The sequence below is a fragment of the Homo sapiens genome, chromosome 5, assembly GCF_000001405.40.
Source record: "Homo sapiens chromosome 5, GRCh38.p14 Primary Assembly".
Classification (NCBI taxonomy): domain Eukaryota; kingdom Metazoa; phylum Chordata; class Mammalia; order Primates; family Hominidae; genus Homo; species Homo sapiens.
In genome coordinates this window covers 75825081-75850962 of record NC_000005.10, presented here as the reverse complement: position 1 = coordinate 75850962, position 25882 = coordinate 75825081, and the positions used below count along the sequence as shown (strand labels likewise).

At 38.1% G+C, this 25882-nt stretch overlaps 1 protein-coding gene and 1 pseudogene across 1 annotated transcript in view, besides 3 other annotated features; one reads left to right on the top strand and one right to left on the bottom strand.

The window, feature by feature from the left end:
* The window catches only part of SV2C (synaptic vesicle glycoprotein 2C), a 506476-nt gene extending 502977 nt beyond the window's left edge, over positions 1-3499 (bottom strand). The window contains exon 1 of the mRNA XM_011543282.4: positions 2475-3499. The gene's annotated coding sequence lies outside the window, so the exon portion shown is untranslated. The remainder of the gene's footprint in view (positions 1-2474) is intronic.
* Positions 3349-3398: an enhancer, noted in NCBI's record as "active region_22687". NCBI's record gives its function as "activates an Ori minimal core promoter by ATAC-STARR-seq in GM12878 lymphoblastoid cells {active_cell/tissue: GM12878}" and the evidence as "EXISTENCE:reporter gene assay evidence [ECO:0000049][PMID:35858748]".
* Positions 3449-3528: an enhancer, noted in NCBI's record as "active region_22686". NCBI's record gives its function as "activates an Ori minimal core promoter by ATAC-STARR-seq in GM12878 lymphoblastoid cells {active_cell/tissue: GM12878}" and the evidence as "EXISTENCE:reporter gene assay evidence [ECO:0000049][PMID:35858748]".
* Positions 3549-3598: an enhancer, noted in NCBI's record as "active region_22685". NCBI's record gives its function as "activates an Ori minimal core promoter by ATAC-STARR-seq in GM12878 lymphoblastoid cells {active_cell/tissue: GM12878}" and the evidence as "EXISTENCE:reporter gene assay evidence [ECO:0000049][PMID:35858748]".
* Positions 18170-19840, top strand: LOC391798 (karyopherin subunit alpha 7 pseudogene; annotated as a pseudogene).

Here is a 25882-nt window from a genome sequence, read left to right as displayed (position 1 = left end):
ATACAGGACACGTAGCCCTCCTGTGCAAATAACTCAGAATCTTCCTATGCCCGACTTATCAACAGCCCCTCGGCTGATAGAAAAATCCAAGTTAGCTCACTGCAACACTGGCATTATTAGTACAAAGCCCTCTGCAGCACACAGCACAGCACCATTCTATAAAATCCCCAGCAAGCCTTTGTCTCCTTGCAGTCAGCTCCTTTCTTGCTGACCTGTTTGTTGCACCCTTACAATGTATTTTCATACTTTCTCTAATAAATCTGCCTTTCCTAACCTAAAATTGTCTCGGTAAATTCTTTTTATACATATATATGCTTTTTTTTTTATTATACTTTAAGTTCTAGGGTACATGTCCACAACGTGCAGTTTTGTTACATATGTACCCACACCACCAACCTAGATAGTCACTACCTACCTATGACATTAGGTAGTCATAGTAACAAATTGGTCATTTTGTTCTTAAAAATGAAAAGCAATAGTCCACTCACAAATCTAATTTCATGTTGTTGATTAGAAAAAAATAAGAAGCTAGAGTTTCAAAGCTTAAAATCCTAATAAAAACATAAGTATTTTGTGATTTTTTTGCAAATATATAACAAATTGATAGAAAATTAACTTGCCTCAGAAGTGAAAAACATGATCACACCAATCACGGGAACGGTGTGTGTATACATTTTAATTCAGGGCACCTGTGATTTAGTAAATCATTCTGCACAGAAAGAAGTACTTAATAGTCATTTGTTGGTCTAACATCTAATTTTTATCTGCTAAATCTGCTTATGAACAGCTTGATGAGAGTGTCATAATATGAGGGAAGATTATTTTATATGTAGGACATTCCTTATATACCTAAAACTATGAAATCAAATGAAGATTTTCAAGGAAAACAGAATTAAACAGCATCATTTACCATATCAAAGATATTAAATCTCTTCAAAAATTAGAAATACAAAATTCTTACTTCAGAAAACCATTAGCCATCATTCTAAGCAGTTATGATAAAAATAATAAAAACTATAAACATGAGATTTTAAAGGTTTCTTATTTTAAAAAAAAGAAAAGAAAAGGAAGAAAAGAGGAAAGGCATACTATGTCCTAAACCCAATATCGTTTGAGAGTTTGCTCTTATTCCAAGGTCAAGTCTGTTACTCATTTTATAAATGAGCCAGGTCTAAGGGTTAATTGCATTCTAAAAACCTACAGTGATCTTGAAATTTCAAATTCAAATCTTTTAACACTTTCTTCATCTTTACAAGCTCTCAAAGAATCATAAAGCATTAATACTGACCTTGTGATGTAGTTAAATTCTATTTACATTTTTAATAGAGAAAAATTCAGTTTGCATAAGATAGATGATAGAAAGATTGATCAAAAAGCTCAGGTAAGATTGAAAAATCTAGGCCAAGTATTTTATACACATTCAGAAATACACACTAACATACACACGGGTACTTCCCCACAAATGTATACCACACTGTTGGAAAACACAAATGGTGGTCTATACAGTGGTCTTTTTTTAAATATAAAGGTATTGCTTTATAGCACAGGATTTTTTGTGTATACAGACCATAGATTTCTGTTCCTTTTCTATTGTAAGTAGGTGTATATGTAATTGAGTTCTGTTTATCTCACTCTGATCAAAACCTACTTTCCTGAAGCTTAGCATTTGTAACCACCTGCTCTTCCATTCACTCCACTAAGTTTTATCCTTCCATTTGAGACTTATCTCACATGCAGAACCTGCTTTAATACTCCCAGCTGTCTTCCTAGAGTTCCACCCCAACTTACTCACTCAACAACTATTTATTGGGAACTTACTATGTGCCAGACACTATGAAAACAGAAGTGAATAAGATAAAGTTCTACCCACTCAGAGACTTCTTTCATGCATACGGGGAGATAGAAGGGGCTGGTGGGGGTGGGGATGAGGGAAGAGCACTGGAGGTCAAGGATATGATACACTGTCATTACATTCTAGGCACTACGTGCCGAATATTTAATGTATATTATCTCAAAACCTCAAAACAACCATATGGAGTTGAATATTATCATATTTCTGCAGATAAGGAAAGTCAGATTCAGCAGATTGAAGAATTTGCCCCAAATCACAAAACTGGTAATTGACAGAGTAGGGATTCAAACCACAGCTGCTTGTGTCCAGGTAGCCTATTCTTGATCCTATCACCAGACTGTCCCATATAGGATATATGTTCCAATACACTCAGACTTACCACCTCCTCTGTCCCTTCCCATACACACCCCCCAACCCCTCCTATCTTGAGACACAACCAGGCTGACCCACACAGGTATGAACTAAACAGTGCAAACATGTTCAATTGTTTTATTCATATAACCCAAAGTTGTTTCTGTGGATTTTCTAATGGCAGACAACTTAAAACAAGAACTTTTGAGATTTCTCAGTCCAGCAGTGATTCTCCTCGCAACCAATTCTGACTTGTTATCAAGTCACTTACCAGGTTAAATTTTAGTGAGCTGAATGTTCTGTCTTCCTTCATCCTTCTCCCCAGGGCAGTTTCTGAGTCCTAAGGAAGCCTTTGGGAGCACTGTGGCCTTGGTAGAATATATGTAACTACTCTAAGGCTCTAAGGCCCTGTCTCTGCTAGTGTCTACTGCTGATATAACTCCCCTGCCCTCTTGGTTCAAGTGGTATACAATGTGACCTTGAGCAGGGCTCAGAGCTCTTGACAACAGGCTCTTCTTTGCCTTCTGGTGCTGCCAGTCCTCTGGATTCAGTTCCACACTCCATCTGGACCATGGCTGGAAGTGCATGCAGCATTCTTTCAGTGAAGACCTTCTCACACCAATAGGTGACTTCCTGGGAGGCGTTCCAGCTCCTACTCTTAGACAACTTCTGTGTCCCCATACTGGATCCCTAGGAAAAACTGGATTCCAGATCCATGGGAAAAGTTGAGGAGAGGGTGTTGTCTCTGGTTTACTTTTTTTCATAAATACCATCTCCCATTTTGCTAAGCTGGCATGGAGCTGGGCTTTTCTCTCCATCTTGCTGTTGTTCTAGATCGTACCTGGGACTTTCCTCTTTAGGATCCTGAGACTTAAGGAAGATTTTATAGGGTGGAGACAGGTGCATAGGTGGAGTTCAGAGAGTGCAATCATTACACTACTTCTCATTTCCTTTTTTCCTTTCTCTAAAATCTCCTCTCCTCTAGCTTGGAGGTCATTTACTAATTCTGGGGGTTGGGAACAGAAATACAAACCTTTCATTTCCTCAAATCTATTTCTGGTCTCTTCTATCTTACATCCACCTCAAACTTAGAATCAAAGAGGAAGTCAACTTTGTTATCAGCTGTGAACTATTCCTACATCAACAGAACTTTCAGCCAAATGAGAAAATGTGGGCAGCTATACAAGTTGGACTTGAAATGGCAAAGCAATTAATGATTTGAAACACCAACAGTAGATATTCCACTGAAGTCTACCTTTTAACCCTTTCCCCCTGCAAGTCAGTGTACATGGGTGGACACAACCATAAAAAGTGAAGTTATGGGCAAGCTGTCCTCATGCGGTTCACATTTTCTTAAGAGCAATATAGATGCTTGATTAACAGAAAGAGGTGAAATCAGAGACAGAAGCCAAGAGAACATTCATATGATGCAAATTTTGATATACAGGTTTAAACAAACTCCAGACTGGTGGTGTTTGAAAGCATTTAGAATTATTCAGAGAGAAACTGGGGATTTTCATGATTTTTTGCAAGTTTCTATCTTCAACTCTAAAAAAGCAATAAGAACAGAGATACAGAAAAACAGTAGGGAATACGACAATGTACAGATAATCATTTGGAAGTCTCACTTTGTTCAAAGAGAAATAATGATCATAACAAAGGTGGCTTACCTTAACAGAATTTAAAAGGCAAATAATTTGAAATAAAAAGCACAGGGACATTTAATGTGTTGAGTTGCTTAAGAAGTGGTTCAATGCAAATTTGTTGAATCAGTGTTTCCCTGGCAGAGAGGCAATTACATTTAAGAAAGTTTTAAAAGGTGGTTACTAAGCAACTACACTCAGCCTACACACATTGTTCATAATCTCTGGTAAATTATAGAAAATGACAGCCTGCCATTAGAGAACAGAGACATACAAAATTAAAGCATTATTATTCTATGTTCCTCCTACAGGAGAAAGATCCATTATATCTTTGGTACGGTTATTAGGTTAAATAACTACAATAGGTATTAAATGTTAGTGTGTTATGGTATAAAAGAGGAAAAACCCAGATGTTTTTCAAAGAATGACCCTTGTAAGTAGGTACAACCTTCCCCTGACTTGACTTCACATTGTATCCTCTCTGTCATAGCAAGAGCAGCTCAAAACACTACTTTATTGGCAGAATTTTAAGTGAGTCTTTGGTAAAGGAAAAAAAAAAGAAGAAGAAGAGAAGGAAGGAATGAAGGAAGAAAGGAAGGAAGGAAGGAAGCAGCAAGCGAGCCCTGTAAGACAAATATACATATCAGTATTATTCACAGCCCAGAATTCTCTCTTCTAATAAAATAATGATATCTTTGGCATCAACACCTTTTTGATAGTGGTACTTTAATGACTGCCTACTATTTCTTTAGAAGAGAAAATCAGTATATAGCAGTAGATAAAATCAAAATGTCCCATTTAAGACATCGGGAAAATAGCTAGTTTCTTTCTGTTTTTCTTCCTTTCTTCCTTCTTTTTTTTTTTTCTCTTGAGTCAGGTCTCACTCTGTCACCCAGGCTGGAGTGCAGTGCTGCAATCACAGCTCACTACAGTCTCAACCTCCTGTGCTCAAGCAACCCTTCTGCCTGCGCCTCCCAAAGTGGTAGGATTATGAGCATAAGCCACCATGCTCGGCCCTAGTTTCTTGGGTAACAAATATTTCTATTAAAAGAGTATGCCACTATACATGCCTGTAGTCCCAGCTACTCAAGAGGTCAACGCTGGATAATTGCTTGAACCCGGGAGGCAGAGGTTGCAGTGAGCCAAGATCGCGCCACTGCACTCCACCTGGGCGACGGAGTGCGACTCTGTCACACACACACACACACACACACACACACACACAAAAGTATGCCACTAAATTTAGTAATCATGTGGCTAATGTCTACCAGATAAGGGTTCTCAAATTTCAGGGAAAAGCTATTGGCCAAATGTATTTTGAAATTTTATTCATTCTCTTATTTATGAAAATAATCCCTACAGTTGGATAAAACCATATATCTACTGTTATCCATTTCCATTTCAATGTGCATTATAAAACAATACATCTTTGGAAATAGTGAAGTAGTTTCTCTTCTTGCTCCCACTTCCTATACCTCTTCCCAGACTGTAATAAAGTGCAGAGGCAGTAATAAGCACACAGTGGCTCTTTCTTACTACTCAGCAGCAACTGCTTCACATAGTTATTTCTCTTTCTCTCTAATGTGGCTCTCACCATGTCAGTAAAAATTCTGAGGACTGAAGAAACCTGCTGCCTAGCCCCGCTCATTTCAGTATGTCCTACTGCCATGTAGGACATTGTTATTGACTGTGACCTAGAAAAATGGGTAAGAAAAGTAAGATCAGTGTCAAAAACAACAAATGAATGGGAACTGAATAGGAACTGTCAGAAAGAGTTGGGCATTCTAGAGGCTCCCTGCCTTGTCATGATCTCTCTCCAGGACTATATGAATTTTCTTTTATTGCATTTCTCCTTTTCTCTTCATTGTATTTCTACTCCGTAGATGTTTTGCTTTCTCATAGTTCCTGACTCTTTATAACCTGGACTTACCATGGCCTTGTCTATACTTCATGGTATTTTTTCATCTCTACCCACCACTTCTAACTAAAGTGTTCCTTTGTATTCCTTAGTTCAAATTTTTGAAAAGAGAAAATAATTAACCCAGTTCATCTTTTTGAGCCAGACCATGTTATAGATCACTGCCTAGCCTACGGGATGTGTGACAGTTTTTAAAAGGTACACAAAAATCTTTGACACTTCTCCCATCCAGAGACAGGGTTCATGTCTCCTCCCCTGGAATCTGGACTTTGTGAATACAATAGAAGTGGCAGTGTGCAGATTTCCAGGATTAGGCCTTAAGACACCAGCAGCTTGCTCTTGGAATCCGACCACCGGCTATGAAGAAGCCCAGGCCACACAAAGAGGCCAGGTAGGGGCTGTGGCTGACTGTTCCAGCGGAGGTCCCAGAAAACAGCCAGCATCAACCACCGGACATGTGTGAGTAAAGCTATCTGCAGAGGACAACAGTCCCCAGTCGATCACTCCCAGCCTTTGAGTCTTTCCAGCTGATGCATCAGATATCATGGAGCAGCGACAAGCCATGCTTATTGTGCCTGTCTGAATTCTTGATATACAGCATGTGTGGGCATAATAAAATGCATGCTTTATACCCTAAGTTCTGGGATAGTTTGTTATATAGCAGTAGACAATTGGAAAATATTTTGGTACCATAAGTCAATTACCTATAGCTGCGTCACAAAACTACACACTTCAGTGGTTTAAAACAATGATCTTTTTTTTTTTTTTTTTCCTGTTTCTGGGAGTCAAGGATTTGAGAAGCATTCAGCCAGGTAGTTCTGGTTCAGAGTCTGCCACATAGCTGTAGTCAAAGGCTGGAGCTGGAAGACTATAACTGCTGAAAGAGCTGGGGGCTGGCTAGGCACCTCTCTTTCCTCTGAGGTTTCAAGGGTTCTCGGCTCTCTGCAGGGTCTCTCCATGTACACTACTTTGGGCTTCATCCCAGGATGATGGCCTCAGATGACAGAAATTCTTACATGGTGGCCCAAGGTTCCAACGTGACTGTTCCAGTGAGCCAAGCAAAAGATGCATTGCCTTTTTTGACCTAGCCTTGTAAGTCACGTGGCATCACTTCCACCATACTCTTAGCAGTCAGCTGCTCACTAAACTCAGCTCAGATTCAAGGAGTTGGAGGAGATATATCCACCTTTCAAAGAGAGGAGTGTCAAAGAAATTTGTCAAAGTTTAGTTCTGGGCCAAAGCTCATACCTATTCTAATCAACTATGCCCAAGGCTGGTGGGATCATAGGTGCACCTGTGGCCTCTCTTCTGTTAGGGACTGGAAGCAGGGATAGCTCCCTTAGAAGGAACTACATTGGCCAGTTCAGAGCACTACATCCCTTGCCTGCCCAGAACCCAGGGTCCTTCTTCCTCTTCTTTATGTCCTACACACATCTGCATCCTGTTGACCCCATCTATTGAACATCTCTTAAACTCTCCACTGGCAGTTAATAGATGATTTTTATAGAAAATTTGGAGAACACAAAAAACTACAAGGAGAAAAAAATACCCTTCCTCCCACATACACAGTTCCAGAGCTGCCCACTCCCAACATGGCCTGTCTGACATTTACAACTATAAATATGCTCGTCATCTGCTAATAGAAAGACTTTCCAAAGTCATGACCAGTTATAGCGCCAGGAAAAATGTCAAGGACCACTTCAAAAGCTGCTTGCCTATCTCGGAGTCCAGAGTTTTCTGTGGTGTCTAGCCTATTTCTTTGTTCTCCTTTTTCCGTGCTCCCATTCAGAGCTACTTCTTACCATTTTATGGGCTCAAAATGACCACTGGTAAACATCAAAGCACCCTGAATACTACAAATGAAAAGTAAAGAATATTTATAATAACTATTTTTATTGGCATACAAAGGGAACATAAAATCTATCTTTTCATCCTGAAACTCAAGATTTACATATGTGTGATCAAGCAGTATTTACAAATTTGTAGTCTGCATTTTTCCCTTGTATTATAATTTTTGTTGTCATTATAATCTTTAAAATCATGAAAAGAAAATGTAAAGTGAAATATCTAATAGCTAAAGCAATATGTTCATTTTTCCTCATCACTTTACTATTAATAAAAAAATTATTTTTTAAGTTGAATTACCCAAATAAATTAACCCAATTATAACTTTACTAATCACTTCTTTTATTTCATTTTTCTCAATTAAAATAGAATTATTAATTAAAATAAATTTATGGGTAAGCTTGCTGGACTCAGTATAATTGTTTTTTCCTTGTTACCTTCTAAAATCCCACTAAAATAAAAGGAAAAGGAATTTAAAACTATAAATCCACAAAAAAGAGAAATAATGACAGCATATGAGAGATGTCAACAAAATCTAGAAACTGAAAAGCAATAAATGAGAAGTGGCCTCATAGACCAAAGAGAGATGAAGCTTGAGTCTATAATAGGATATCTAATAAGAAGTAAGCTAATTATACGCCAAACAGTTAAGAAGTTACAGAACCTTGAGAATTCTCAAGAATTGAATAAACTAGATATCACTGAGTCCAACAGTTTAAGCTGGTCTGAAAGCAAAAGGACTGTGACAATCTTTATAAGGAATAGATAGGACACCACTGAACTCCACCAGCCCATTCAGTCAGAGCATGAAGAACAACAGGTGCCTGAATACAGATGAATCTGGAGAGCATGATGCTAAATCAGGCACAGAATGACAAATACCACATGATTTCACTTATAGGAATCTAAAAAGTTGAGCTCATAGAAGCAGAGTAGAGCAGTAGTTACGAGGGGCTGGGAGTGTGGAGAGATAAGGGTTTAGAGAGATGTTGTTCAAAGAATATAAAATTTCAGTTAGGAAGAATGAGTTCAAGAGCTCTACTGTACAACATTGTGACTATAATAAATAACAATATATTGTATACTTGATTACTAATTTTAAGCAGATTTCAAGTGTTCTCATTGCACACAAAAATGCATATGAGAAATGCACATGTCAATTATCTAAATTTAGCCATTCCACAATGTACATGTATTTCAAAACACACTGTATACATAAATATATATCTTTATTTGTTAATTAAAAATTAATAATAATAATAATATTATATTGGTAGGCCTAGTCAGTATAAATATAAGAAAAATAAATTTAAGGCATTAGACTAGGAGCAAAAATCAGTGAGATAATAAAGCATTACCTTCATAAAAACAGAAGTCAATTAAAAAAGGGACATTTCGAGAAAAGAAGTTTTTAAAATTAAAGTACGGATATATACTTTTTAAATGAAATCCCACAATTAGAAGATAAAGTTAAGGAAATCTAGAAAGTAAAAGCAAAAAAGACAAAGAGATGGAAAATAGTGGTAGGAAAAAAAGAAAGTTAGAGGAAGTTCAGCATCCAGTTTAATTATTAAGAGTTCCAGGAAAAGAAAACAGAAGAAATGGGCAAGAGAATATCTTCAAAAAATAGCACGCACGTAAAAACATCCCAGACCTGAAGGACATGAGCGCCAGTTTGAAAAGGTCCACACAGTACACAGCAAAATGAATAAAAATGACTCTCACCAAGGCACATTATGGTAATACTTCAGCACGCAGGGGAGAAAGAAAAGACCTAAAATTTTCAGATAGAAGAAAATGGTTCGCATCAGTGTATCATTAGACATCTCAAAGTTACATTGTGTAGCATACTATAAGAACCATCATTCTCAGCAAAAAAACCAAACACCGCATGTTCTCACTCATAGGTGGGAATTGAACAATGAGAACACATGGACACAGGAAGGGGAACATCACAGACCAGGGCCTGTTATGGGGTCGGGGGAGGGGGAAGGGATAGCATTAGGAGATATACCTAATGTTAAATGACGAGTTACTAGGTGCAGCACACCAACATGGCACATGTATACACACGTAACAAACCACATTGTACACATGTACCCTAAAACTTAAAGTATAATAAAAAAAAATGGTGCTGGGAAAACTGGCTAGCCATATGTAGAAAGCTGAAACTGGATCCCTTCCTTACACCTTACACAAAAATTAATTCAAGATGGATTAAAGACTTACATGTTAGACCTAAAACCATAAAAACCCTAGAAGAAAACCTAGGCAATACCATTCAGGACATAGGCATGGGCAAGGACTTCATGTCTAAAACACCAAAAGCAATGGCAACAAAAGACAAAATTGACAAATGGGATCTAATTAAACTAAAGAGCTTCTGCACAGCAAAAGAAACTACCATCAGAGTGAACAAGCAACCTTCAGAATGGGAGAAAATTTTCGCAACCTACTCATCTGACAAAGGGCTAATATCCAGAATCTACAATGAACTCAAACAAATTTACAAGAAAAAAACAAACAACCCCATCAAAAAGTGGGCGAAGGACATGAACAGACACTTCTCAAAAGAAGACATTTATGCAGCCAAAAAACACATGCAAAAATGCTCATCATCACTGGCCGTCTGAGAAATGCAAATCAAAACCACAATGAGATACCATCTCACACAAGTTAGAATGGCGATCATTAAAAAGTCAGGAAACAACAGGTGCTGGAGAGGATGTGGAGAAATAGGAAGACTTTTACACTGTTGGTGGGACTGTAAACTAGTTCAACCATTGTGTAAGTCAGTGTGGCGATTCCTCAGGGATCTAGAACTAGAAATACCATTTGACCCAGCCATCCCATTACTGGGTATACACCCAAAGGACTATAAATCATGCTGCTATAAAGACACATGCACACGTATGTTTATTGTGGCATTATTCACAATAGCAAAGACTTGGAACCAACCCAAATGTCCAACAACGATAGACTGGATTAAGAAAATGTGGCACATATACACCATGGAATACTATGCAGCCATAAAAAACGAAGAGTTCATGTCCTTTGTAGGGACATGGATGAAACTGGAAACCATCATTCTCAGCAAACTATCACAAGGACAAAAAACCAAACACCAATTGTTCTCTCATAGGTGGGAACTGAACAATGAGAACACATGGACACAGGAAGGGGAACATCACACTCCAGGGACTGTTGTGGGTTGGGGAGGGGGAGGGATAGCATTAGGAGATATACCTATATACCTAATGCTAAATGACGAGTTAATGGGTGCAGCACACCAACATGGCACATGTATACATATGTAACAAACCTGCACATTGTGCACATGTACCCTAAAACTTAAAGTATAATAATAAAATAAAATTAAATTAAAAATTAAAAAAAGAGACATATTGTTGCTATAAGTTTAATGATGGCCAAAAGTCCCTCTCAAATATCTCACAGGGTCTACACTATGTGTTCACTTAGCAGTATGGTGAAACCTGGCCTAAGATTTCCAACCATGGCCTGGGAATTACTGGGTCTGTATGACAATGAGACCTAAAAATGCTGGTTGCCCTAGGGACAAGACCACTCAACATAGATGCAACCTTAAAACAATGCTTACCCTCACAAGAATGCTAATACTTCCTTTATGAAAGAAACACCTGGCAACTGACCTGGACTGAATAGTATGAAAAAGGAGAAAGAATCCCCCAAACTCTGAGAATGGTCCCCAGATGGAGACTCTCCCAGTCATCTGACTCCTGACTCTATCTGGCCCATGCCACCAGCCTGCTCCCGCTATCTGTCTTGTAAGAGCACTTCTGGAATAAACTGTCCAAACATCAGACAATGTCTAAGACTCGTCTTTGGAAGCTAGAAGAGACTGATGTCTTCAAAATATTGAGGGAAAAATATTTTCAACCTGAAATTCTGTGCCCAACCAAACTACCCATCATGAATAATAAATAAAGTTACTATAAATTATGCTCTATCAAAATCAAGAATAAGATAGGGGATAGAGGAAACAGGACATTCAAATAGGTGACAGGCAAAAAGAATTCCTGGATGGTGCTAAAGTGAAGACCCAGCATAATAGCTGAGGGCTCAGCCTTCAGAGCAATCAGTTCTGCCTAGAGAATAGAGAGCATCAGAGGCAAAGTCACCAGGGGAAAAAATTAATTGATAGATTACCTGATGTGTTTGATTGTTTTGATAAGTAATTCATTGATCTGTTGGAGTATTTAGGGATTAAAAATTGGTGACAGGTACATAGAAAATCAAGCAATTTTAAACTTCAGAGTAAAAAAAAATTGTCTTTAAAAAATTGGAATGTGTATTTAGTAAAATTCAGTACCCTTTAAGGATGAAAAAAAAAATCACTCAACAAAACAGGAATAGAAGAAAACTACCTCAACACAATAAAGGCCACATAGGAAAAGTCCACAGCTATCATAGTCAAGGTGAAAGACTGAAAGCTTTCCTGCAAGATCAGGAAATAGACAAGAATGCTCACTTTCAACACTTCTATTCAACATAGTACTAGAAGTCTTAGCCAGAACAATTAGTCAAGAAAAAGAAATAAAAGGCATCCAAAAAGAAGAATTAAAATTACCTCTATTCATAAACAACAGAATCTTGTATGTAGAAAATCTTAAGGATTCCACAAAAAAACCTGTTAGAAATAATAAACAAATTCAACAAAATTACAGGATTCAAAATCAAAACACGAAAAAAATTAGCTATATTTCTACACACTAATAATGAATAATCTGAAAAGGAAATTAAGAAAATAATTCCATTTATGATAGAATCAAAAAGAATAAAATATTCAGAATAAGCAAGCCAAAAGACTTGCACCCTGAAAATTACAAAATATCACTGAAAGATATTAAGGCAGACACAAATAAATGGAAAGATATCCTGTGTTTATGTACTGGAAGACTTAATATAGTAAGATGTCAATACTCTACAAAGCGATCTACAGATTCAATGCAATTCCTATCAAAATCCCAATGATTTTTTTTGCAGAAATAGAAAATCCCAGCAAAGGAATTGAATAGATATTTCTCCAAATAAGATATACAAATGGCCAATAAGCATATGAAAAGATGCTCAATGTCATTAATAATTTTGGAAGTGAAAATAAATCAAAGTCACAATGAGGTATTGCCTCCCACCCATTAGAATGGCTGCTATTGAAAAAAAAAAAAAAGAAAATAGATATTGGTGAGGATGTGGAGACATTTGAACTCTTGTGAACTTTTGGTGGTAAAATGATACAGCTGCTGTGAAAAACAGTATGATGGTTCCTCAAAAAATTAAAAACAGAAATACCATATAAATCAGAAATTCTACTTCTGGATATTTAGTGAAAAGATTTGCACCTAGGATCTCAGAGATATTTATACACCCATGTTCATAACAGCATTATTCACAATAACCAAAAAGTAAAAGCAACCCAAACATCCACTGATGGATGAATGGATAAACAAAATATGGTAGGTAATACAATGAAATATTATTAAGCCTTAGAGAGGAAGGAAATTCTGACACATGCTACAACATGGATGAATCTTGAGGACATTAATTAAGTAAAATAAGCCAGTCACAAAAAGGTAAAAATCATGACTCAACTTGTATGAGATATCTCTAGGGAAGTCAAACTCAAAAAAAAAAATAGAAAGTAGAATGGTGGTTCCCAGGGGCTCGGGGGAGGGGAAAACAGGAAGTCGTTTAATAGGTATGAAAAAATTCTGGAGATTGGTTGGACAACAAACTGAATATACTTAACCTACTGAAGCGTACACTTAAAAATGATTAAGATGGTAAGTTTTATATTATGTGCATTTTACCACATTAAAGCAACTTCTATTTTGAGACACGGTCTCACTCTGTCATCCAGGCTGAAGTACAAGTGGCATGATCACAGCTCACTGCGGCCTTATCCTCCCAGGCTCACGCGATTCTCCCACACCAACCTTTCAAGTAGCTGGGACCACAGGCATATGTCACCATGCCTGGCTAATTTTTTTTTATTATTATTTTTTGTAGAAACAGGATCTCACTATGTTGCCCAGGCTGGTCTCAAACTTTTGGGCACAAGCAGTCCTCCTGCCTTGGCCTCCCAAAATACTGGGATTACAGGCATAAGCCACTGCACCTAGCTAAGACAACATTTTAATATACTATATTACATGATTCAGCTATGGACAACATCTACATACACACTTATAATAATTTAGCACTCATTATTTTTAGACAAAAATTTGCAACATAAATATTTGCAAGATAGAGGAAGTTTAGAGTTAGGTAAGAGAGGAGTAGTGGAAGAGAACCAAATTTTCTAAGTCAGGAAGTCAATAATAGATAATGTCTAAAACTGGAAAATCAATGTGGGGAAACATAAACACATTATTCAGAAATAGAGGATAAACACCTGTGCTAGTCTTTGTGTGACTGGCCTCAGCTCTATGTTTTATCCTTTTCCTGCTCTCTTCTAATAAGAGTGTTATCTGTTGTCTGCATGCTATATTCTCCAAGTTGCCATGTCTATTGGAGATAGCTAGTTTGACTAACGGGAAAAACTGTCCGGAAACTGAATGTGAAGAGGAAAAGACAGGATATTTTCCTCCTTCATTCTATGCCTCAGGTGACATATTAAGTAATGTCTGTGTTTCTTCCATGGCTCCAGCTTCTGACAGACAAGCTTCTATGGTTCTAGATTCTGCAAGATTAACCTAGCTACTGGGCTTACCAGTATCTCTTCTTTTTTTCCCTCCAGCCTAATCTATCTAATGTTGCTAGTCTCTGAGTTGCTCACCAACCCCTGTTTGGCTTCTCAGCTTTTCCACGACTAATGCCTGCATAAAAGCTTATTGCAAGAGTTTTGTTTCTGCCTAGTATTTAGCTGGGAAGGTATCATTCCTGCCCCAAGTACAAGAAAAATGTATGAACTACAGAATCAGAATATTTCTTAATCTCATTAGAGAGCTGATATAAAGAGCAACCAAATAGACTGAAAGCCAAGGAAAGACAGGAGCCTCCAAGATGATACAAGCATTGGCTTAATTGTGGCAGAGTATTGGGGGAAGAGACACTGAGCATCATCAAAGTGGGTAAAATGAATTCACTTAAAAAGTTTAAGTTGCTAGGCCTCACTTGGGCTAGTGGGACATCATAGAGCCCCTGGGAGTTTCAGACATGAGGGAAGTTTATGTCCACTTGCAGTTCTTCTCCACATACCTTCAATGGGGGTGTGTGGAGAAGAACTACAAGTGGACATGAGAAATATTTGGGGCAGGGTGGGAGAAGAGGGCCTCCATCAGTAGAGTGAAAAAGGCACAAAACCCATCTGGCTCCTCTTCTGTGGAACAAAGGCCTTAAGTCACTGGGGGAAAGGTAGCAAACCCTGTCACCCACAGTACAAGTTGATAAGCAAAGGATGCACATTCAAGAATCAAAAATAACCTTTAAAAACACAAAAGCAAAAACCTAAGTATAACTAATAAGTAATAGTGGAGATAAACAGAAGTATTATAAAATGCTCAACTGACCCCCACCCCCAAACAAAAATAAAAGAAAAAAAGGAACAAAGAACAGATGGGGCAAATAAAAAACAGGTATCAAAGTAGTAGTTTTAAATTCAACCATAGCAATAATCACATTAAATATAAATGGTCTGAACTTTCTAATTAAAAGAAGTAAAAGGCAGAGATTACCAGAGTGGACTACAAGAAGTGGATTACAGATAAAAGGACAAAATAAGATATACTCTGCAAAAATTCATTGTAAAAAAAAAAACTGGAATGGATAACATCAGACAAAGTACAGTTCGGAACAAGGAATATTACCAGGAATAGGAGGTAAATTTCATAATGATAAAGGGGTAAACTTATCAAAAAGATATAACAGTTCTAAATGTGTATGCATCCTGTAACAGAGATTCAAAATATCCAAGGAAAAAGCTGATAGAACTGAAAGGAAAAATAAAACCACAAATACAACTGGGAGCTTCAACAGTGTTTTTTTCATTAATTAATAAAACAAGAACACAAAAAAATCAGTACAGACATAGGAGACTTGAAAAATACAACCAACTGGACCCAACTGATAAATGTATAGAATATACCATTCAAAAAAAGAATAAACATCCTTTTCAAGTGCATTCACAATAGTCACCAAAATAGACAATTTTCTGGGCCATAGGGAAATTTAATCAGATTGAAATTATATGGAGTATGTTCTGTTACAAGATAATTAAATTAGAAATCAATAACAGGAAGATATAAGGAAAATTCCCAAACATTTAGAAATTAAACAATATACCTCTTAATAATGCATGGGTCAAAGAAAACATAAGAAAATTAGAAAATATTTTAAATGGAATGGTAATAGTAACATCAAAATGTGTGGGATAAGACTAAAGCAGAGCTTAGAACATAATGTATAGCCTTAAGTACTTATATTAGAGAAGACCTAAACAAGCAAAAATTATAAAATTTCCAGGAGGAAACATGGAAGAAAATCTTTGCACTCTTGATATAGCAAAAATTCCTAGGTGGGAAAGAAGAAGCATGAACCATTTAAACAATGAACAAATTAGACTTCATCAAAATTTAAAAATTCTGCTTTAATTTTATTTAATTTTAAGTTCCAGGATACCTGTACAGGCTGTGCAGGTTTGCTACATAGGTAAACATGTGCCATGGTGGTTTGCTGCACCTATCAACTCATCACCTAAATATTAAGCCCTGCATTCACTAGCTATTTATCCTGATGCTCTCCCTCCCCTCGCTCCCCTACAGACCCCACTGTGTGTTGTTCCCCTCGCTGTGTCCATGTGTTCTCATTGCTCAGCTCCCACTTATAGGTGAAAACATGAGGTGTCTGGTTTTCTGTTCCTGTGCTAGTTTGCTGAGGATAATGGCTTCCAGCTCCAACCACATCCATGCAAAGGATATGATCTCATTCCTTTGTATGGCTGCATAGTATTCCATGGTGTATATGTCCCACATTTCCTTCATCCAGTCTATCCTTGATGGGCATTTGGGTTGATTCCATGTCTTTGCTATTGTGAATAGTGTTGCAATGAACATAAACATGCATGTATCTTTATAATAGAATTATGTATATTCCTTTGGGTAGATAACCAGTAATGGGATTACTGGGTTAAATGGTATTTCTAGTTCTAGGTCTCTGAGGAATAGTCACATTGTCTTCCACAATGGTTGAACTAATCTACATTCCCATCAACAGTGTAAAAGTGTTCCTGTTTCTCCACAGCCTTGCCAGCATCTGTTGTTTCTTGACTTTTTAATAATTGCCATTCTGAATATTGTGAGGTGGTATCTCACTGTGGCTTTGATTTGCATTTCTCTAATGATCAGTGATGTTGAGCTTTTTTTCATGTTTGTTGGCTGCATAAATGTCTTCTTTTGAGAAGTGTCTTTTCATATCCTTTTCCCAGTTTTTGATGGTGTTGTTTTTTCTCATAAATTTGTTTGAGTTCTTTGTAGATTCTGGATATTAGACCTTTGTCAAACGGATAGATTGCAAAAATTTTCTCCCATTCCGTAGGTTGTCTATTCACTCTGATGATAGTTTCTTTTGCTGTGCAGAAGCTCTTTAGTTTAATTAGATCCCATTTGTCAATTTTCACTTCTGTTGCAATTGCTTTTGATGTTTTTGTCATGAAATCTTTGCCCATGCCTATGTCCTGAATGATATTGCCTAGGTTTTCTCCTAGGGTTTTTATAGTTTTGGGTTTTACATTTAAGTCTTTAATCCATCTTGAGTTAATTTTTGTATAAGGTGTAAGGAAGGAGTCCACTTTCAATTTTCTGCATATGGATAACCAGTTTTCCTAGCACCATTTATTGAATAGGGAATCCTTTTCCCATTGCTTGTTTTTGTCAGGTTTGTCAAAGATCAGATGGATGCACATGTATGGTCTTATTTCTGAGATCTCTATTCTGTTCCATTGGTCTATTTGTCTGACCCCACAGAAATACAAACAACCATCAGAGAATACTATAAACACTTCTACACAAATAAACTAGAAAATCTGAAGAAGTGGAGAAATTCCTGGACACACGCACCCTCCCAAGACTAAACTAGGAAGAAGTCGAATCCCTGAATAAACCAATAACAAGTTCTGAAACTGTGGCAGTAGTTAATAGCCTACCAACCAAAACAAGCCCACGACCAGATGGATTCACAGCTGAATTCTGAGGTACAAAGAGAAGCTGCTAGCATTCCTTCTGAAACTATTCCATATAATTGAAAAGGATGGACTTCTCCCTAACTCATCTTATAAGGCCAGCATCATCCTGATACCAAAACCTGGCAGAGATACAACAAAAAAAGGAAACTTAAGGCCAATATTCCTGAGGAACACTGATGCAAAAATCTTCAATAAAATACTGGCAAACCAAATCCAGCAGCACATCAAAAAGCTTATGCACCACAATCAAGTCGACTTCATCCCTAGGATGCAAGGCTGGTTCAACATACACCAATCAATAAATGTAATTTATCACCTAAACAGAACCAATGATAAAAAGTGACCTTAGACGCTCCAGAAAAGAGGTTGAGAAAATTTAAGTACTGAGGCAAAGATGCATCTCGGAGGCGACAGCAGAGGATAGCAGTCAGCCTGGAGCTCCGAAAGGCCAAGAAAGATGAACGGATCTTAAAGAAAAAGAATATCACCAGCTTCTGCCCTGATACAGCTTCCGAAAAACCAGCCAAAGAGGTGGCAGTCAGCTTCACTCTGGTGAAATAATCAAAGGTGTGAATAGCTCAGATTCAGTCCCACGTTTCCAGGCCACCCAGACAGCCAGGAAAATGCTATCCCAGGAAAAGAACCCCCTTCTGAAATTGATCATTGAAGCGGGCCTCATTCCCAGGATGGTAGAGTTCCTGAAGTCATCACTTTACCCCTGCTTGCAGTTTGAGGCTGCCTGGGCCCTGACCAACATTGCTTCAGGGACTTCCGAGCAGATTTGAGCCGTGGTAGAAGGGGGACCCATCCAGCCCTTGATCAAGCTCCTGTCTTCCCCCAACGTGGCTGTGTGTGAACAGGCAATGTGGGCTCTTGGTAATATACCCAGTGACGGCCTGGAGTTCAGAGATAATGTCATCTCAAGCAATGCCATCCCACATCTGCGGGCCTTGATTTCACCCACCCTACCAATCACATTTATGCGGAACATCACGTGGACCTGGTCGAACCTATGCCGAAAAAAGACCCCGTACCCTTGCGAAACTGCAGTGAAGCAGATGCTGCGTGCCCTCTCACTCCTGCAGCGCCACCACAGCGAGGTTCTCTCAGAAGCCTGCTGGTCACTGTCCTACCTCACCTACGGCTGCAAAGAGCTCATCGGCCAAGTGGATGACACAGGGGTCCTGCTCAGGCTAGTAGCCCTCATGACCATCTCAGAACTCAATGTCTGGACCCCTTCTCTCCCGTACCATGGGGAACATTATCACAGGCACAAATGAACAGAAGCAGATGGCCATTGACGCGGGCATGCTGAACGTGCTGCCCCAGTTCCTGCAGCACAACAAGTCCTCCATCCAGGAGGCGGCCTGGGCCCTGAGCAACGTGGCGGCAGGGCCCTCTCACCACACCCAGCAGCTGCTTGCCTACAACGTCTTGCCTCCCGTGGTGGCTCTGCTAAAAAAAATGGAGAATTTAAAGTCCAGAAAGAGGCTGTCTGGACGGTGGCTAACTTTGCAATGTGGGTCACCGTGGATAAGTTGATCCTCCACTCTGGGGTCCTGGAGCCACTGGCAAATCTGCTCATTGCCCCAGATGTTAAAATTGTTCTCATCATCCTCGATGTAATCTCTTGCATCCTCCAGGCGGCAGAGAAACGGTCTGAGAAGGAAATCCTATGTTTTCTGATAGAACAACTCGGTGGGATCGATAGAATTGAGGCTTTACAACTGCATGAGAACTGTCAGATTGGCCAGTCTGCTTTGAACATCATTGAGAAGCACTTTGGTGAGGAAGAAGATGAGAGTCTAACTTTACTGAGCCAAGTCCTAGACCAAGATTGTGAATTTATAGATTGTGAATGCTTAGCAAAAAATAGCCAAGCTCCATAACTCCTAAACCAACAACCCAATGCTAAAGGATAACTTCTTTAAGCAGCAGTAGTCCTATATCTTAGTGTATCCCAAATGTGAAGCTTTCAAAACTTAACATTAATAAAACGTTCAATACTTTCAAAAAAATTATCTCAATAGATGCAGAAAAGACCTTTAATAAAATTCAATTCATGCTAAAAACTCTCAATAAACTAGGTATTGATGGAACATATTTCAAAATAATAAGAGCCATTTATGACGGACCCACAGCCAACATCATACTGAATGGGCAAAAGCTGGAAGCATTCCCTTTGAAAACTGGCACAAGACAAGGATGCCCTCTCTCACCACTCCTATTCAACATAGTATTGGAAGTTCTGGCCACGGCAATCAGGCAAGAGAAAGAAATAAACTGTATTCAAATAGGAAGAGAGGAGGTCAAATTGTTTCTGTTTGCAGATAACATGATTGTATATCTAGAAATCCCCATCATCTTAGCCCAAAAGCTCCTTAAGCTGATAAGCAACTTCAGCAAAGTCTCAGGATACAAAATCAATTGTGCCAAATTAACAAGCATTCCTATACACCAACAACAGACAAGCAGAGAGCCAAGTCATGAGTGAACTCCCATTCACAATTGTTACAAAGGGAATAAAATACCTAGGAATACAGCTCACAAGGGATGTGGAGGACCTCTTCAAGGAGAACTACAAACCACTGTTCAAGAAGATAAGAGAAGACACAAACAAATGGAAGAACATTCCTTGCTCGTGGATTAGAAGAGTGAAATGGTCATACTGCCCAAAGTAATTTATGGATTCAATGCTATTCCCATCAAACTACCGTTTACATTCTTCACAGAAATAGAAAAAACTAGTTTAAAATCCATATGGAACAAAAAAGAGCCCATATAGCCAAGACCATCCTAAGCAAAAAAACAAAAAACAAAAAACAAAGCTGGAGGCATCACACTACCCGACTTCAAAATTCTGCTTTTCTAAAGACGCCATTAAGAAAACAAAGTGGTAAACCATGGACTGGAAGAAAAAATTCACAATACGTACATCTGATAGAGCATTTGTTTCCAGAATATATAAAGAACTCTTAAACTCAATTACAAGAAGACAACTCAAGCCAAAATTCGGTAAAATGTTTGAAAAGATTCTTCACAATAGAAGATATACAAATGGCCAATAAGCACATGAAAATATGCTCAACATTACTAGTCATCAGATAAATGCAAATTAGAACTACACTGAGATTTGCTATACTCTCACAAAACAGTTAAGAGTAAAAATATTGACATTACCAAACATTGGAGAATATGTGGAACAACTAAAATTCTATTCATTGCTGGTGGAAATGCAAAATTGTACGATGACTTTGGAAAACAGTGTAACAATCTCTTCTAAGATTAAACCTACTCTTACCATAAGACCTAGAATTTCACTCCTAGGTATTTACTCAATTCTTTGTCCACACAAAGAATTGTACAAGAATGTTCATAGAAGCTCCATTCATAATAGCTGAAAACTGGAAACAATCTAAATGTCTATCAAATGAGAATGGATAAAAAAGTTGATCTAGTCCTGCACCAGTGCCATCAGGTCTTAATAACTACACTTTATATTACGTGTTAATACCTTGTCTGGCCAGTCTGCAATGCTTTCTACTTTTTCAGAATTTTTTTGTGAATTCCTGCATTCCAAAGTAACTTTTGAATAATTGTTTCAATCTCCTAAAACTCTTGTAAGTATTAATTTAAAGAGAATACATCTTATACAAGATTGAATTTACCTATACAGAGATAAGGCATCATCTCCGCTTATTAAGGTATACCGCAGAAAACAGAATTGCCTTTACTGGCTATCTGCTAATCTATACCACAACGTCACTCCCATATCCCACCCAGGGCACTTTAATTTTTCTAGTAACAGAGTTTTATTCCAGAATTTGGGGCTTTGGTGATTGCAAGATTTGCAGTATTCATACCAGCACTCATAGCATGTGCTCAATGCTAGTTCTTCACAGTCACGCTCAGAATTAGAAAGCAGGTGTTTGTTACCTTGATTGAATTCAGTTCACCTTAATTTGAGAATCATATATTGTACACCTACGACGTGTCAGCCAAGGTGCTAATTTCTATGAGGAATCAAAGATGAAAAAGTCACAGCTCCATTCTTATGAATTTTTTCATTCTATGGCAATGGCAACCATATAAAGCAAAAGTTTCATGGAAGACAAAATGTCCTGAGGGCACAGAGAGTCTGTGTGGGCACAGAGGAAAGAGTTCCTATTTAGGTAAGAAAAAGAACAACACGAGAAAGACAAAACTTTAACATTCTGTATCAAAATGTTGATTTAACTTCTGTATCTTCTTTCTAACAAACCCTGAGACCTAGAAATTTGCTGAACTTGGTGCTTTGTGACTGAGTCTAATTTGCTTCACTGCTCTTGAACCGCAAGGTTTAGAGCATCCTGAGCTTGTAATTTTGGTATTTCTCATATTACCTGCTTAGGTGGTAATTCTTATTTAGCTAATAATAGAACTTGACAAAGAAATTTTAAAGAAATTAATGCAGGAGTGAATGGTGGGGCAACTCTCCATTCAACATTTTATTGTTCATTATAAATTTGCTGCATAATTTCAGTTCCTAAAGAAGCTTAAATTGGCCGGACGCGGTGGGTCATGCCCGTAATCCTAGCACTTTGGGAAGCCAAGGCAGGCAGATCACCTGAGGTCAGGAGTTCAAGACCAGACCAGCCAACATGGCGAAACCCCATCTCTACTAAAAATATAAAAATTAGCCAGGCATTGTGGCGGGCACCTGTAATCCCAGGTACTTGGGAGGTTGAGGCAGGAGAATTGCTTGAACCCAGGAGGCAGAGTTTGCAGTGAGCCAAGATCGCACCACTAACTCCAGCCTGGGTGACAGAGCAAGACTCCATCTCAAAAAAAAAAAAAAAGCTTAAATATTTTTCTAATTATAAGAGACAAGTGGTGTGATTAGAAGCAGCTGCTCCAGACAGTTTTTGCCAACAGTCATTTCCAAATTACACACACACAAAGGTATTCAGCGTTGTTTCTTTCCACTTCAACTTTGATATGGGTAGGTTTGTAATTTTTTCACATACTATGTAAAGAAAAATCAGTTAATATCTCAAGATTTATTGTGTCTATTCTCTCAATCCTATGAATAGCTGTGCAGAATAACCAAGCTAAAGTCACTTTTTAAAATATGAAGATGGAGGGAGAGAGGGAAGAGAAAAGATGGGTGAAAGCAAATAAGGAAAGGATAGAAAAGATGAATGGGAAAAGGTGCAGACAAAACACGCAGATGGCAGACTACTGGAAAAGTACAGAATGAGGAGAAAAATACACCTCCAGGCTCTGTTTCTTCATTTTAAGGATGCATATTGGCCTAACAGTGAAGTGTATGCTAACAAGTTACAGCAAGAGAATTAACAGCATGAATTTTGGAGTTAGTTTGCTCCAGGATCATTCCTGACTTCCAGTCTCCTACTAACTATAAGGCCTTGGACAAATTATTTCCTCCACTTTAGAGTCCTCATTTGTAAAATGGGCTTAATAAGAATACCCTCCACCTAAGATTGACATCAGAGAGAAGAAAATAAGAACTGTAATGTGGTGCCATGTCACACCCATCATGTAAGCAAAAATGTTTAAAAATTTAATAACAACTGTTGCTGGGGAAGTCAAGAAATATAGTTCTCATACAATGTTAACAGCAATATAAAGTGGAAATTAATTTAAAAATCAAACAAGTTAGAAATGCACACAGTCTGATTCAGCTATTCTTCTCCTAGGTAAACATGTCCCTGAGAAAAACTTCTGCATGTGTAAACAGAGAGACACAGAATGTTTACTGCTCTAATATTTATAATTGTCAACAATAGAAAAATTCAAATGCCCTCCAACAGAAATATGGGTAAATCAGAGACTATTCATATAGTAGCAAAAAGGGATGATTTTGAGTTACATGTGTTAGTATAGATGACTCTCTAGTACATTAAGTTTTTTTTAATCAAGTTTCAGATTTCAGAATATCAAGACAGAATCACAATGAAACTAGAAGAAGGCTGGACTTCACCCCAAGAGGCTGAACTTGAAGCTAGATACAATAGCTAAAGTATTCTTGGTTGTGCATAAGATAAATTTATTTATATTAGAATGAGGCATTTAAAAACCTAAATGCATGAAAATTCATATGTGATGTAGGGGGAGGGTAAGTGAGCCTCAAAGTGGTGGAATGTGGATCTATTCTTTTTGCCTGCCAAGCATCCCTATCCTTTTATATTTGTTAATCAAACCTTTTGTTTCTGTCTATCATAATCCCCTTAAACCTCCATTCCTGATCAGTGGTTGGGCACAGAATTCAATCTCTATTTCCTGGGAATTTAAATCTTGGGTACAATCACAAAAATATGAAAAGTGATGCCAGTATCCCCAAAGAGCCGAAGACAGAACTGGTAGCAGATTAATTACATTGGATCCCCTCTGTCATGAAAGGGGCAGCAATTTAAAATCACTATAATTGATACTTATTCTGGATCTTCTGGATCTAGGTTTGCTGTCCCTGCCTGCTATGCTTCTGCCAGCAAAACTATCCCTGGTCTTATTGAATGGCTCATTCACCATTATGGTTGCCCGTAAAATATTGTTTCTGGTCATGGGCTCCATTTACAAGGAGGGAGAGGCAATGGAACTCAGTATCTCATATAATGTGTTAACGGTGGTTAACTTCACATTATTGAATATAAATTGCGGAATCCGAATGTGAGTTGTGCAGAGCTAGATGGAGCTGGATTTGAAAATGTGGTAACTGGTGAAACTTGGCCTGTCTACCTCTCTGGAAAGAGACAAGTGTACTTTCAGATGTACGGAGAAATAATTGCATGATGTAAGGAAGGCAGTTTTTCTTTTTTTTTCCTTTTTTCCGGAACTGAGCATGTGAAGTAAGGTGGGCTTTGATGTCAGGTAGCCAAATACTATGGACTATAGTAGGAATGCATTGGGATTTGGAGCTGTCTAATTTTCTGTATCTCCTTCCTGATGAGTCTTAGTGGTAGGCACATGACCCAGGGCATTTGACCCGGGAGAACATAATCAGATATAGAAACTAAAATTTTAGATGTATAGCTAGGAATACAAAGAAATAGGGCAGGGATAAAATGTTTCTAGTGTCATTCAAGATAACGTGTTCCAATATCCAGGGCCAGCAAAAGTTGGAAAGAAACACTAATCTAATTCTGTTGTAGATTCTGTTGTGAGGCCTCCAAATAATCTTGCCTAGAATTGATATACGTTACTTCCCAAAAGTAGGCACCTAAGGTTTACATCAGAGAGAGAAAATTAAGAACTATGATGCGGTGCCATATCACATCCATCAGAGAAGCAGAAATGTTAAAACCAGACTACATCTGGTTTAAAAAAAAAAAAAAAAAGCACTTGATTGAAGAATAGTAATTCAGCAACATAGAACCCATTTTCCCTGTAAGTTAAATCACACTTTTTATACTGGGCCCAGAATTTAAGCTGTAAGCCCTACAAGTCTCTCACATTCCTCCTGGAATAATTTTTGGCTGCAGCCTAGCTCCTCTGAATCCCACTCCCTCAGTTCTGCCTCTAAATAAGCAGCTATGCAATCTTTATATAGTTCTATATTTTTTATGTATGGAATCTGCTGCATGGAACATTCTTATGGAAAGTGTTCACAGCCACGTTTTATGGCTTCTTTAGCACCATAGCTTCTGGAAGAGTCAATAAGGAAAGAGTGCTGGTACAAGGACGGAACTAAAGGCCCACCATTTATCTTATTAGGAACAAAATACTGTTTCTCCACTCCTAGCCTGTCCCCTAGGTTCAAATTTGCCTGTAACTCAGGGTTAGGGTGTAAGGTGTCTACTCTGTTCGACACTACGTAATAAGAGGCAAAAATTTAACATTTAGACTCAGCTATTTTGGGTCTTCTTTTGTTTGGTTGGGTTTTTTTTAATAATTTCAACTTTTATTTTAGATGTAGGGAGTATATGTGCAGGTGTGTAACATGCATGTATTGCGTGATGCTGAGGTTTGGGGTACAAATGATCCCATCACCCAGCTAGTGAGCCTAGTACCCAACAGTTTGTTTTTCAACCCATTCCCTCCTCTTTCCGCCTACT